Source organism: Homo sapiens, chromosome 22 (assembly GCF_000001405.40).
Source record: "Homo sapiens chromosome 22, GRCh38.p14 Primary Assembly".
Lineage (NCBI taxonomy): Eukaryota > Metazoa > Chordata > Mammalia > Primates > Hominidae > Homo > Homo sapiens.
In genome coordinates, this window is record NC_000022.11 from 35,478,561 (window position 1) to 35,493,540 (window position 14,980).

Here is a 14,980-nt window from a genome sequence, read left to right on the forward strand (position 1 = left end):
GATAGTGGGGATCATGCAGACCCCCGGCTTTCCCACTCTAGACGGCCTTGGCGAGAGCCCCCAGCTGCCCTTGAGTTGGGACATCCTGGGGGTGAATGAGGGTAGAAAAAGGCAGCTGCAGTTGGAGGCTTGCGGCTCAGAGCTAAGGCCTCCACCCCACAGCCTCCGCTGGCTCCCCAGGTGAGCTGGGACACCAAGATCAGAGGCTGGAAACAAGAAGTTTTGGCTTTTAGCTGGCAGCAGCAGCAGCTGCCAACATCATCTCTCCTTCAAATGACAGGCTGGGGACTTTGGGAAAACAGCCACAATAAGCGTGTTCGGAGGGAAAGGAGGGGGAGAGGAAGGAAAGAGAGCAGAGAAGATGGTGAGGTCTGGATCGTGGGGTGCAGCGTGTGTGCGCACATGTGCTTCTGTGATCCTCAGTATGTCAGTGTTTCTGTGACTGTGTGTACACTTACGCTGTGTCTCTGTGATTCAATCTCTGTGTGTCCCCAGGGAGACAGTGTGCGTCTCTGTTTTTGTTTGTTTGTTTTTTTTTTTTTTTTTGAGACGGAGTCTTGCTCTGTCACCCCGGCTGGAGTGCAGTGGTGCGATCTCGGCTCACTGCAACCTCCGCCTCCCGGGTTCAAGCAATTCTCCTGCCTCAGCCTCCTGAGTAGCTGGGATTACAGGTGCATGCTACCACGCCCTGGCTAGTTTTTGTATTTTTTAGTAGAGACGGGGTTTCGCCATGTTGGCCAGGCTAGTCTCGAACTCCTGACCTCAGGTGATCTGCCTTCCTTGGCCTCCCAAAGTATGGGGATTACAGGCGTGGGCCACGGCGCCTGGCCTAGTGTGAGTCTCTGTTTATGGTGATGGGTGGCAGCGCAATGCCTTGAAAATGTTTCCTCCAAGGTAGCAAAGAAAAGTCCCTGTGACCATCCAAAGCCTTGGTGAGCTCAGCGGCTGAGCACTGGTCTGGAAGTTAGGAGACGTGGGTTCCAGCTTTGGATCTGCTACAGGCTCACTTGGCAGCCTTGGGCGAGCCACTACCTTTCCTTGACTTGAGGAGCCTCAATGGCAAATAGCAACACAGCCAACTCTTTTTTTTTTTTTTTCCTAGAGAAAAAAAAGCTGTATGCTTTATTAAGCAGAGTGACAGTATAAAGCTTCCACAGCGTGGAAGGAGTCCCAAGCGGGTAGCCAGTGTTAGATTTTTTGATCACCTTTTAAACTCTTTAAGGCGGGAAATATGTGCGGCGGGAAGATGTTACCAGAGCGAGAAACAAAGACAATTAACATGTCTCAGATCTTGAAGAAAACCGGAATTGTAACTTAAGTTTTATCTGCGTATAACCTTGCAGCGGCATGGCAAAGGAGACAGGATCTCACAGAATTTTACAAATTGGCAACACAGTCAACTCTTTTAGAGCATTTGCTATGTGCCAGGCCCTGTCCTAAGCACATCACAGGTCAGGGTTATCCAACCCTGGAAGGTTATCTCCATTTTACAGATGTGGAAACTGAGGCCCGTGCCTAAGATGCCGTATCTAGTGAGTGGGGGGACTGAGATTCCAGTCCAGGCAGTTTGGCTTGGAGTTTGAGCTCTTCACCACACGCTGCCCAGCGATCCTGCCGGAGGGTCTTGACCACAGAGTGGGGGTGTGGGGGCTGTGATTCAGATTCTCCGAGGTGCTGATGCAGCTCTGTGGCGCCTACTGCCCCCGCCCCCCGACTGAGAACTGTGGCTGTGCTCAGCCACCGTGACTGGCTGGGGTATGGCTCGGATCCCTTGGGTGTTGGCCAGGCCCCAGTTGATCTCCAAGGGCTCTCGGTGTTCCAGGAAGCTATGGCTTGGTGTCTGAAACACAGTCTGGAGTAATAAATGTCGGGAGGAAGGATGTGACTAGGCTGCACAGGGAAGAGACCAAGACACTTTGAGCCAAATCTCTCTTTCTCTTGGGACCCCAAGAGCTGATTCACCTGGAACATCCTGGAGCCATGACACAAGCCATGCTCTGATGGCAGAGGCTGCCAGCTGCCACCCAGGACAGAGAGCTTATGGGAGGTGGTGGAGTTCCTGCTCCCCGCAAAGCCTGAGGGCTGGTAGAGATGTGAGGGTGTTTCAACGTTGCTTTCCAAGATAAGGAATGAGTTCTTTTTCTGTCCTTCTTCTTCTGTCCCTGGACAGCCTGACTGCGTCAAAGAAGGAGGTGGGGGAGCCAGGGGGCAGCTGGGGTAGGAAGAAGTCCAGCTTGGTGACATTAATGGGAGGACAGAATTGCCTGGCTCTTCTGTTTTTGGACACGGGCACAGTTATGAAACTTTGAGCAACCCCAGGCCTGGGGCTGGTTCCTGGTGGCCCTGGCCCACCCCTGCCTGCTGTGTGAGGCCTGTGAGGTGCATGAGGCCACTGTCCATAAATGGAATTGTCAGTTTATTACCCTCGGTACCCAGCCCAGTGCCTGGAAGTTCTTCCCGGATGTCGACTGCCGTGGGGAGAAGAGGGGCCCACTGGCCACAGTGAGGGTGCTGAGCTGGAGACGAGTTACACCCGATCTCATCCTGGGAGGAGACTGTGGTCTGGAGGGGGTGAGAGCAAAAATGCAGAGGCTTAAAACAGAGGTGAGGGCAGAGGGAGGCAGGAGAGACCGGGAAGGATTCAGGAAGCCTGTTTCCCACGTGGGAGGCGGAGGGATTTTCTTAAAACAGAAATCAGACCGTGCCACTTCCTGGTGGCGTTGCCCTAAAATAGATTCCATACTCTGTCCTGCTGTGCCATCTGGCTCTGCTTTCTCTCCACCTCCTCTAATGTTATCGTCTCCTCCCTGCTGTCCACTGTCCCGCCACACGGGTTTCTTCCAGTTCCTCGAACACACTAAGCCATGTCCACCCTTGGGGCTTGGCCCAACTCATTCCTACTTCCTGGACATCGCCCCGCCCTGCACTTTGCACTCATTCAGGTGCCTGCTTAAATGTTACCTCCTCAGAGAGGGCTTCCTACCGTATTTTGTCTCTCTCCCACTAGATTATCACCTAAAACCGAGCAGGGGCCATATAGGTCTTCTATAAATATCTCTTGTTAGTCAGCAAACATTTATTGAATGACTGTATGAAGGAGAAAATGGCTTACCTGGCTTTGGAAGCTTGGGGTTGCTCTACCTAAAGGAGTCATTCTCTATTTCAGCACCCCCTCATTTATTTAATTTAATTTATTTATTTAAGTCAGAGCCTTGCTCTGTCGCCCAGGCTGGAGTACAGTGGAGCGATCTCAGCTCACTGCAACCTCTGCCTCCCAGGTTCAAGCGATTCTCCTGCCTCAGCCTCCTGAGTAGCTGGGATTACACATGCGCACCACCACAAGTGGCTAATTTTGTACTTTTAGTAGACGGGGTTTCACCGTGTTGGCCAGGCTGGTCTCGAACTCCTGACTTCAGGTGATCTGCCCACCTGGGCCCCCCAAAGTGCTGGGATTGTAGGCATGAGCCGCTGCGCCCAGCCAGCACCCCACTGTTTAATGTATATGTATGAAGCTCATCGCAATTTGTAATCAATTTATTTATTGTTTTTGTCTCTCTCCCACTAGACTGTCACCTAAAACCGAGCAGAGGCCATATGCGTGCTCTATAAATATTTGTTGTTAGTCAGCAAACATTTATTGAATGACTGTATGAAGGAGATAATGGTTTTACCTGGCTTTGGAAGGCTGAGTAGGAACAGGGAAAGCAAAGAAGGATGTGCTTAGCTGTAATATCCGAAAACTCAACTATCAGTAGCTTAACTTCTAAGGATATCTATTGTTGACTTGGGAAGATGTCCGGATCTAGATTGTCCTCATGTTGATTCTGCAGCTTAACAGTGTCATTGGCCTCCCTGCTGCTTTCAATTTTTGCACACTGGCACCCTCAGCATGTTGGCATTTATCCTCAGGCTTCGCACCTTATGGTCACAAGATGGCTGCCATAGCTCCAGGCATCACGTCCTCACACGACTGTGTCCAAAATAGGAAGAGAGTGGCCAGGCATGGTGGCTCATGCCTGTAATCCCAGCACTTTGAGAGGCCAAGGAGGGCAGATAGCTTTGAGCTCAGGAGTTCAAGACCAGCTTGGGCAACATGGGGAAACTCTGTCTATTTAACAATACAAAACTTAGCCGGGCATTGGTGGCTGGCGCCTGTAGCCCCAGCTACTTGGGAAACTGAGGCTGGAGAATCACTTGAGCCCTGGGAGTGGAGATTGCAGTGAGCCGAGATCATGCCACTGCACTCCAGTCTGGGCAACAAAGTGAGACCCTGTCTCAAAAAAAAGCACAGAAAAACAAAATAGGATGAGAGGAAAGGGAGCAAAGGAATCTTCATGTGATTTTTCTCTTTCATCAGAGGTGAAAATCTTCACCTGGAAACATACTGCCACTCCTCACACCCTCCAGAGATTCTGCTTTATGTGATTATCACTCTGAACTGGCTCACTCAAGACCAATGAGTGAAAAGGGCTAGAGTAGAAAAGAGTAGAAAAGGGCTGCCATGATCACCTCAGGCTAATTGAGATGCGCCTCCTACGTTGTGTGCAATTCAACCCAGGAAGGCGATTAGTGGGGAAGAGGGCAGACAATGCCGAGCGTGCCCCACTGTCTCTTGGGGGCCTCCCACTCTCCTGTGGGGTAGGCAGGGCTACTTTTCTTAGTGTCTGTGGCTTCGCCTCTGCTCCCCCCACCCCCAGTCATTTGAGAATGCAAGGCTCAGAGAAACTAAGAAATGTGCTCAAGGTCACACAGAAAACTAGAAGGGAATAGAACTTAGCCCCTCATCAATCACTACCCTCACCCCAGAACTTGGGGTGCCCCTGGGCATGCTGTCTTGTCCCCACCCCCGTCCCTTCTCACCCTTCCATGCTGTTGCTTATTTAACCCACGTCTTTCCCAAGAGACTGTAAGCTCCCTAAGCACAGGGACTTTGGATCTGCCCATGGTCTTTCCCCAGTACCTAGAACAGAGCCTGGTTCTGAGCAAGGAAGGAAGGAAGGAAGGAAGGAAGGGGAGGAAAGAAGGGAGGGAGGGACGGAGGGAGAAAGGAAGGAAGGAAGGGAGGGAGGGATGGAGGGAGGGGAGGGGAGGGACAGAGGGAGGAAGGACGGGAGGAAGAAGGAAAAAGGAAGGAGGGAAGAAAGAGGGAGGAAGGAAGGGAGGAAGGGAGGGAGAGAGGAAGAAAGGAAGGAAAGAAGGAAGGAAGGGAGGGAGGGAGGGAGGGGAGGGGAAGAAGAGAGGAAGGAAGGGAGGGAGGAAGAAAGAAAAAGGAAGGAACAAAGGGAGGAAGGAAGGGAGGAAGGGAGGGAGAGAGGAAAGGAGGGAGGGAGGGAGAGAGGGAGGAAGGGAGGAAAGGAGGGAGGGAGGAAGGGAGGATTCTTAAGTGTATGTAATTGAGGTCTTCTGTACCCATGCCCTGTCAGCAAGCACTTGGGCGGAGTCCTGCAGCCCTTAGCTGGTGCAGGTGGGTAGCACTGCTGATACGTTTTACTGAGGTGCTGCCTTGAGGAAGGGAGTGAGTGAATATGGGGAGCACAGCCAATCCCCACGATGGGTACAGAGGAATTGGCTGTCTTGTGAGGCAGTAAACTCTGCTTTCAGAGGTGATAGGCATCTCTTGGGAGTGTTCTAGAGGTGATGCTTGCCATGAGAAGTTAGAATTGAAGACCACTGGAAGACTGATTTTGCGATATATTGGCTTAAGAGTCTGCAAAAACAGCATTTGCAGAATTCTCACAACTGCCTTATTTTGATTTTACAGTAGGGGGAAGTGAAACACAGAGAAGGTAAGTAATTTGCCCAAGGTCACACAGCTCATCTGTGGCAAAGACAGGATTGAATCCAGGCATGGAAGTACCCTGCTCACCTTTATTTTTTATTTTTTTATTTTTTTTGAGATGGAGTCTCGCTCTTGTCACCCAGGCTGGAGTGCAATGGTGTGATCTCAGCTCACTGCAATGTCCACCTCCTGGGTTCAAGCAATTCTGCCTCAGCCTCCTGAGTAGCTGAGACTACAGGTGCCCGCCACCATGCCTGACTAATTTTTACATTTTTAGTAGAGACGGGGTTTTGCCATGTTGGCCAGGCTGGTCTCGAACTCCTGACCTCAAGTGATCTGCCCACCTTGGCCTCCCAAAGTTCTGGGATTTACAGGCATGAGCCACCGTGCCTGGCCCCACTCACCTTTCTTAGCCCTTAGACCACACCGCCTCTTCACATCCCTTAGAGATCCAAGGCTCTGTGATTTGAAGAATAGTGACTTGTAGCACTGTCAGAATGTATTTCTGTAAGAATCTATGACTCAGAGCCGATTCTGGCCTTCTAAGACACTCGGATTCTCTGCGATTCTGACAGCCCATGATGCTACCCTGAGTTTTGGAGTGCCAGCAAGGTCCTTCTTCTGATCTGCCTTTAGACTTGCTTTAATTATAATTTATCTGCTTCTTTGGAGGTCTTTGTTCCCTTGGCCCTGTCCCTCTGCCTGCAGGCCCGGCCGCCCATCCTGGAACTGGCTGCTGGCAGTCGATCAAGTTTCATAACAATGTTATGGTGGGGATGTCAGCATCATGGAGGTTCCAACCAGACTCCAACTAGCGCTTCCCCACGGGGAGCGGGCCCGGCAGTGACTGATGTGGGGTTGCTGCTCTATGGGTAACAAAATGGATGGGAGGAGAGAGAGGCCCAGAGTAAACAGGGAGGGCTGGGAGATGGCAGGAGCGGCCAGCATGCTGCGGTCTCATTCCTTACCTTCATCTCCCTGGGCCCAACGGGAGGCCTGGAGCCATGAAGCAACTGTGAGTTCCCAGTGAGAAGCCACTCCCAAGCCTCCCAGGCAGCAGAAGGAAGAGAATAGATGCTAATTGGGAATCTTCTACATGCCAGCACAGGGCTAGGTCCTTCACAGGCATTGATCCTCTTAATTCACCCTCCCATTTCAAGGGCAGCTGTGTACCACTGCCATACCCAAAACAGCCTGGGCTGGCATAGGAGGGCAGTTCCTCCCATCTGCCTTCCAAAGGCATCAGCCTCTGGTTCCTGCATCCTCCACCTCTCCTCTTTCATGGGATCGTTCCCATGAGTGCACAGAGGAGATCCGACCTCCCCCAACTGGAGAGAGACACACAAAGAGACAGAGAGGCAGAGATGGACAGAGAGATAGAGAAAGAGAGACCTCCTGGTCATCCAAAGACTGCCCATTTTTTCAGCAGAACTGCTCAGCAGCTCAATGACCCTATTTCTTTTCTTTTCTTTCTTTTTTTTTTTGAGATGGAGTTTTGTTCTTGTTGCCCAGGCTGGAGTGCAGTGGCATGACCTTGGCTCACTGCAACCTCCGCCTCCAGGGTTCAAGTGTTTCTCCTGCTTCAGCCTCCCAAGTAGCTGGGATTACAGGCATGCACTACCACACCTGGCTAATTTTGTGTTTTTAGTAGAGACGGGGTTTCTCCATGTTGGTCAGGCTGGTCTTGAACTCCCGACCTCAGGTGATCCACCTGCCTCAGCCTCCCAAAGTGTTGGGATTACAGGCGTGAGCCATTGTGCCGGCCAAATGACCCCACTTCTTTCCCTCCTCTTCCGTCTCCAACCCGTGCCTGTGTGGCTAATATTGTTTGGTGGAGTCACTGCCCACCCTCCTGTTGCTGAATTCTAGCAGAGCTGTTGAGGCAGCGCCGCACAGATAATTCCTCCTTCCGTCCTCAGACCCTGAACCCTGACTTGGTGGCACTCCAGTCCCCTGGTTTTCTTCCTGCTGCGTGGGTCACTCCTCAGTCTCTCCAGGGCCACCGCTTCTGGCCGCTCTGAGAGTTGAAGTTTCAGTGGTACCAACCCAGGCGCCTTCTCCATTGCCCTCTCCCCTCCTTACCTCCACACTCTCTTCCTTGGTGATGTCATGCCTTTAAGTCCATATCTGAGCTGATGTTCTCCACATTCCTAGTGCCAGCCCTCCTGGCTTCCAGCTGCCTCCTTGATACCCCTCCCCAAATGTCCTGCAGGCACCTCAAACCCAATGTGTGCACCCCGAGACTCCTACTTTCCCAGTGAAGCCACGTGTGTGCCAACCAGAGCCTCTAAACTTGGCAGGAATATGCCTGTCATCCTCAAGTCTCCTCCAGGAGACTCTTTTTCAAGCCTCTATCAAGACTATTGAGACTAATAGTAAAAAGGTAATTAAACTCATCCACAAACTCCCAGGGACCTGATGATATTATTCTTCTCCATTAATAAAGGCTTGAAGTGAAACCAGTATCCTGTGGGAGTCCACAAAATCCCTTAAAATTATAAAACATTCTAAAACTGAAAACTAGGGGAAGTACTTAACTACACCACTCATAGATTCATTCATTCATTCAGTAACTGTTGGGTTCCTGCCATGTGCCAAGATAGGGGTCAGGGATAAGTTGGTGAACACAACTGGCCCAGTGCCTGCCCCTATGGGGCTTCCCCAGGCAGGAGACAGACAGTAACAATCCAAATGGACATATATAAAGCTCCCACTGCCCAGCGCAGTGGCTCACGCCTGTAATCCCAGCACTTTGGGAGGCCAAGGCAGGCAGATCATGAGGTCAGAAGATTGAGACTATCCTGGCTAACTCGGTGAAACCCCATCTCTACTAAAAATACAAAAAATTAGCCAGGTGTGGTGGCACATGCCTGTAGTCCCAGCTACTTGGGAAGCTGAGGCAGGAGAACCACTTGAACCCGGGAGGCGGAGGTTGCAGTGAGCCGAGATCATGCCACTGCACTCCTGCCAGGGCAACAGAGTGAGACTCCATCTCAAAAAAAACAAAAACAAAAACAAAAACTCCCACTAGAGGCTGTGCACTTTTCTAGGTGCTTTATGGTATAAGCCCATTTAACTCTCACAGCGGTGCCTCGAGTGGGTACATCTATTGACCCATTTTACAGATAAGGAAACTGCAGCATGGAGAGAGGATATAATGGGGCTGGGGCCGCACAGCTCCTGCCAGGCAAAACCTCTGTAATCCAGGCCGTCTGACTGCAAAGGCCATGCTCTTGGCTGCGATTCTGTCAAGATGCCAACAATGAGATAAATAAAATGTGTAATTGCAAACTGTGATAAGTGCTATGGAAAAAATCTTGGGGTGCTGGAGGAGCAGAGAGGAGGTTCAACCTAGTCCAAAAAGCTAGGGAGGACATCTCTGAGGAAGTGATATTTCAGTGAAGACTCAGGATGAGTAGACATAGCCCAGGCAAAGAGTTGAAACAAGGGCATCCCAGGAAAAAGAAAGGGCCTGTGCAAAGGCCCTGAGGCAGGAAAGTTCAGCACAGAGAGGTCCCTCATAGCAGTCTAGCAAAAATAAAGTGAGGGGCTGGGTGCAGTGGCTCACACCTGTAATTCTAGCACTTTGGGAGGCTGAAGTGGGCAGATCACTTGAGGTCAGGAGTTCGAGACCAGCCTAGCCAACATGGTGAAACCCTGACTCTACTAAAAATACAAAAGATTAGCCAGATGTGGTGGCGGGCGCCTGTAATCCCAGCTACTCGGGAGGCTGTGGCAGGAGAATTGCTTGAACCCGGGAAGCGGAGGTTGCAGTGAACCAAGATCGCACCACTGCAGCCTGGGTGACAGAGTGAGACTCTGGCTCAAAAATAAAATAAGGAATATGTGCATGGTGGAAAGTAAAGGACACTGGGCGAGGGCGGAAGGGTTGATGCCTGGGGGACACAGGCAGCTGCTGGCGGGATGGGATTTAGGGGGCTCCTAGAGCCTCTGCCGGCCTAATCATCTCTTCTTCACATTGTGTCATATGTCCTGAGAGTTCCCCATTACTGCTCTGTCCTCAAGGCTGTGAAAAGCAATTCGCGATGTCCAGTCTCCTGAGGAAAGTCCCACACCTGTGGGAGGTATAAAGCCTGGCTTCCTCCATGGAAGCTTCTTCTTCATCACAAGTGAGCCCCAGCTCTGCTCAGCCACTCTGCCCAGCACTGCGGCTCCAGGAGGAGGACCGAGTTGGATTCTTGCTCTCCAGGGGCCCACTGTGAGGGAGAAGCAGACAAGCCAGTGACTGCTGCACAGTGGGCCTGGACTGTGGTGCAGAGATGGCTGAGACCTAGTGGTGTTTCCAAACTGGGAGTGACCAGCCCCATAGAGAAACGTGGTGGGCGGGGAAAGCTTCCCAGCAGAGGTGATATTTGAACAGGAGCCCAGGGCTCACCAGGTGCAGAGTGGGGAAAGGCACTCCAGGAAGAAGGAGAGAGGAAAGAGAGGTGGGTGAGGATGACCTGAATCCTTCAGAGACCTGACTCAGCCTCAGGCAGAGATCTGGGAGGTGGGCTTCTCCCACTTCACAGGAGTAGGCTAGGATCATCATTTCCATTTAACAGATGGGGAAACTGAGCCTCAGAGAGAGGTTAGCTAATTTTCCCAAGGGCGCCTGAGTGGCAGAGCTGGGATTCAAACTCAGACTCTCTGACTCCAGAGGTAGAACTCAGATCCTCCAAGCTATGTTGCATCCCAAGTCATTGCCAGTACCCCTGAGAGCTGGACAGGCTTTGACAGGCAGGGAATGAGCACTGACTGCACTGGGGAATGGAAATCTTCTGGTCCCAACACAGCCAATGGCTCTGCAGGGCTCACGTCCCTCTTAAGGGCTCATGTCCATCTGTCTGTCATCTGGAAACAGACTCCTGCCCCTTCTCCCCCACGGGCTGCTGTGAGGCACTGAGGAGTGTCACAGGCAACATCTCCTTTGGGCTGGAACCCCTGGCAGTACCTGGGAGGGCAGGTGATGCCAGACAAGGCCAGCTGGAGGAGCCTGGAAGGAGGTGGGGCGGGGCTCTGAGAAGCATCGACTGCGGCTGCCCTCCCTCCCTGCCTCCATCTCCACCCTCCACCACCAGGCCGGTGTAATCAGGGCTATCCATCACCCTCCCTAAGGGCCAGGTGCCTGCTGGCAGCAGTACCACTGCCAGCTCATCCATATTTCATCAGCCTGTGAGAAAGAAGCGAGAGAGCAGAGGAGGAAAGATGGAGCCTAGGGGAACGGGCCCATCAACAACAGTGGCTGCCCCCCAGCCAGCCCCTCAACACAGGCTCTGTCAGCTGGCCCAGGCCACAGCCAGGCACCCTACTGGGAGGCTCTAGGATGTGGGTCAGGCAGATGAGGTGCTGTGGAAATAGTGATAATGGGGACAAGGACCTGCCATTCTTCTGGAGCCCTTGCTTGGTGCCAGGTGCTGTGAAGGCACTTCATGTACATTGCATTATCCAATCTTCTCAACTACCCTATGAGTAAGGCTCTGCCACGCCTCGCACTTTATGGGTGGAGAAACTGAGGCCCAGGTGATAAGTAGCCCACCTGAGGCTCTGCTCAGATGTGGCCAAGGCAAGATTCAGCTCAGGCACTCGGGTTCTGGCATCCTCACTCCAGCCCCAACCCCTGTGTTTCCCTGTGTGTGTTCAGAACCATGGACTTGCATTCCACTTCAGCTTGGGCTATGTCATCCCCCTCTGAGCCTCAGTTTCCTCCTCTGTACAATAGCTGCTTCCCAGGGTGACAGTGAGCCTTGAGTAAATGACTGCTACTCAGAGCCAGCCCGAAAAATATCCTTCCAGCCTTGGCTCAGACATCGCTGTCTCGGCAAGGCCTGGTTAAGGTTGCAGCAGCCCTGCTCCCCCCGCCGTCTGCTCTGTCCTGTCTTTCAGGTCGCGTATCACCTCTTCTCCATTGCCATTTATCACCCATCTCTGCTGCAGGGAGGCCAGGGTCCTGCCGATTTTTTCTGAGCAGTCTGGGAGCCTGGAGCAGCCCCAGGGTGAGTGGTTCCTGAGCATTGTCAGAGGGAATGAGTACACGGATGGGTGTTCTATTCCCCCTTTTCAGGGACCTCTTAGAAACAGGAGGATTGGGGGTGAGATTTAGCTGTCAGGGCTAGGCAGGGCCAGAGGGGCTGGGAAGGACGTATTCACGGAAGGGGAAAGAAAACACGTTGACTCTGGGCCAGGAGGATGGGCAGGGAGTGAACCCAGGCATGGGAGAGATGGACTTTTCCAGGGTTGGGGGGTGCCATTCCAGATTTCAATTCCCCCTGGGTGCAGAGGGTCCATCAGCCTGGAACAGCTACGTCCAGAGTGTGTCCCCTCCATCCCCCAGCACACCTGCTGTCCCCTCCTTTCCCAGGGGTCCCGAGGCCTCAGGCTGTCTAGCCAGGGCCCTGTTGCCCCCACACCAGGTCCTCTGCCTGCCTCATGCTCATTCAGCCCAGGTTGGGCACTCACAAGCTTCTCAGTCTGCTTCTGATTTAGAAAGATCATTGCAGGCCAGGCGTGGTGGTTCACCCCTGTAATCCTAGCACTTTGGGAGGCCGAGGCGGGGGGATCACCTCAGGGCGGAGTTCGAGACCAGCCTGAGCAACATGGAGAAAGCCCATCTCTATTAAAAATACAAAATTAGCCAGGCGTGGTGGTGCATGCCTGTAATCCCAGCTACTTGGGAAGCTGAGGCAGGATAATCGCTTGAACCCGGGAGGCGGAGGTTGCAGTGAACCAAGACTGCACCACAGCACTCCAGCCTGGGTAACTAGAGTGAAACTCCTTCTGGGAAAAAAAAAAAAAAAAAAAAAAAAGAAGGTCATTCCAATTCGGAGTCATAAGTATCAGAACTTCATGACTCTTGGAGACTCTGATCCCCTGAGGAGAGAGTGAGCTCAGAAAGGAAAAGTGACCGTTCAGGTCAAACAGCAAGGTCTGCCAAATCCTGTCCCAGACTCAGTGGAGGGAAAGTCCTGGTACACCCCCACACCCTCCTTTGCATCTCCCCCCCAGCTCCCATATTCTAGAAATCCAGCCTGGCTTTCAAGTCCCTGGGCAAGCCAGGTGCCCTCCACCCCTATCCCCAGTCGGTCGACCTTCCCTGCTCCAGGCATACTCTGTGTCTGCTTCAGGTGTCATCTCTGCCCCAGGTGTGTTCTCTGCTCCCTCTTCCCCGCTGTGCTCCCTGTCTCAAGTGTACTCCCTGTCCTAGCGTGCCCCCTGCCCCAGATGTGCTCCCTGCCCCAGATGTGCTCCCTGCCCCGGATGTGCCCCCTGCCCCGGATGTGTCCCCTGCCCCGGATGTGCTCCCTGCCCCGGATGTGCTCCCTGCCCCGGATGTGTCCCCTGCCCCGGATGTGCTCCCTGCCCCGGATGTGTCCCCTGCCCCGGATGTGCTCCCTGCCCCGGATGTGCTCCCTGCCCCGGATGTGTCCCCTGCCCCGGATGTGCTCCCTGCCCCGGATGTGTCCCCTGCCCCGGATGTGCTCCCTGCCCCGGATGTGTCCCCTGCCCCGGATGTGCTCCCTGCCCCGGATGTGCTCCCTGCCCCGGATGTGTCCCCTGCCCCGGATGTGTCCCCTGCCCCAGATGTGTCCCCTGCCCCGGATGTGCTCCCTGCCCCGGATGTGTTCCCTGCCCCGGATGTGCTCCCTGCCCCAGAGGTGCTCCCTGTCTCAAGTGTGCTCCTTGTCCTAGTGTGCTCCCTGCCCCAGGTGTGCTCCCTGTCCTAGTGTGCTCCCAGTCTCAGGTATGCTCCCTGCCTCAAGTGTACTCCCTGTCCTAGAATGCTCCCTGCCCCAGGTGTGCTCCCTGCCTCAGGTGTGCTCCCTGTCCCAGGTGTGCCCCCTCCCCCAGGTGTACTCCCTCCCTCAGGTGTGCTCCCTGTCTCAGGTGTGCTCCCTCCCCCAGGTGTGCTCTTTGTCTCAGGTGTGCTCCCTACCCCAGGTGTGTTCCCTGCCTCAGGTGTGCTCCCTCCCCCAGGTGTGCTCCCTGTGTCTGGTGTGCTCCCTGCTCCAGGTGTATTCTCTGCTCCCACCACTGCTCAAAAGCTCACTCTGGCCCCTGGGTCTTTGTACATGCAATTCCTTTGCCAGGGTGCCTGCTCTGCTCTAGCCAATTGTCCCACCATTTTTAGGAACCAGCAGGAGTCCCCACCTCCTCCAGGAGGTCTTTTGAGTCTACCCTGTGGTTGAGTCTGCCAGCCTTGACTCACAGGGTTTCGAGTATTGTGTGTTTCCAGATCTTCTCTGAGTTTCAGGTGATTTGGAGGGGAGGTTACGTGGAAGGAGGCCAGGCAATCAATAGGCTTATATTCCTCTGTTCCTCCAAAGCTCTGTGACCTTGGATCAGCTACTAAGCTGCTCTGAGCCCCAGTTTTGTCCTCATCTAGAAGATGAGGCTGGTGAAGGATTCCACCTCAGCTAACTCATGGGGCTGAGTGAAAGGGCGATGTGGGTGGTGCAGGATGGTGCACGTGTGAGGGTTAACCACTCCTGGGGCTCAGGAGCTGCGGTACGCACGCATTCTTCATTGTCTTCTTGAGAGTCCTGGGCTAGGTCCCTGGGAAGACTCAGCATGTACTCACAGTGTGGTACTGGGACCATCCCTGTAACTGTCTGTCCCCTACGGACTGCACCCTCTTTGATATCAGGGACCAGGTCTTTTTGATCTTCCCATCCTCAGCACAGGGCACAGGGCAGGTGTTCTGCTCTTGCTCCTAGAACTAAAGAGCTGGTGCAGTTGGCTCTAGGAGCACACTCCAGCCTAGGATGAAGCCTTAGAGGTCGTTTCATCAAAAACCTTGTTATTGTATGGACGGGGAAACTGAGACTCAGAAAAGGGGAGGGGCATGCTGAGTGTATAGTATAGCACCAACTTTGGAGACCCATCTGGGTTTGGATGCAGTTCTTCAACTTCCTGGCAGTGGAACCTTGGGCAAGTCATTTGTTTCTCTTAGCCTCAGTTTTCCCATCTGTAAAATGGGGCCAATCATGAAGGTTGCTGTGGGGGTAAAGTGAGATTGCATCAGGGAAAGAGCATGGACAGTGTCTCGCATGCACCAGGCCTCCCCAGAAGGTAAGTTCTTTCCTCTTTGCCCAGAGCCTTGCACATTAGTGGCAGATCGGGGTGAGGGAGCGGGGAGAACCAGACCACCTGTTTCCCGCTCAGCTTCCTTTCCACCCTCTTTATTGAGAAGTTGGCTGTTTT

General features: G+C 53.2%; 1 annotated feature.

The window, feature by feature from the left end:
• Window positions 365-542: a silencer, noted in NCBI's record as "fragment chr22:35874918-35875095 (GRCh37/hg19 assembly coordinates)". NCBI's record gives its function as "represses an EF-1alpha promoter that drives an FKBP-Casp9 reporter gene in an ReSE screen in HepG2 liver carcinoma cells {active_cell/tissue: HepG2}" and the evidence as "EXISTENCE:reporter gene assay evidence [ECO:0000049][PMID:32094911]".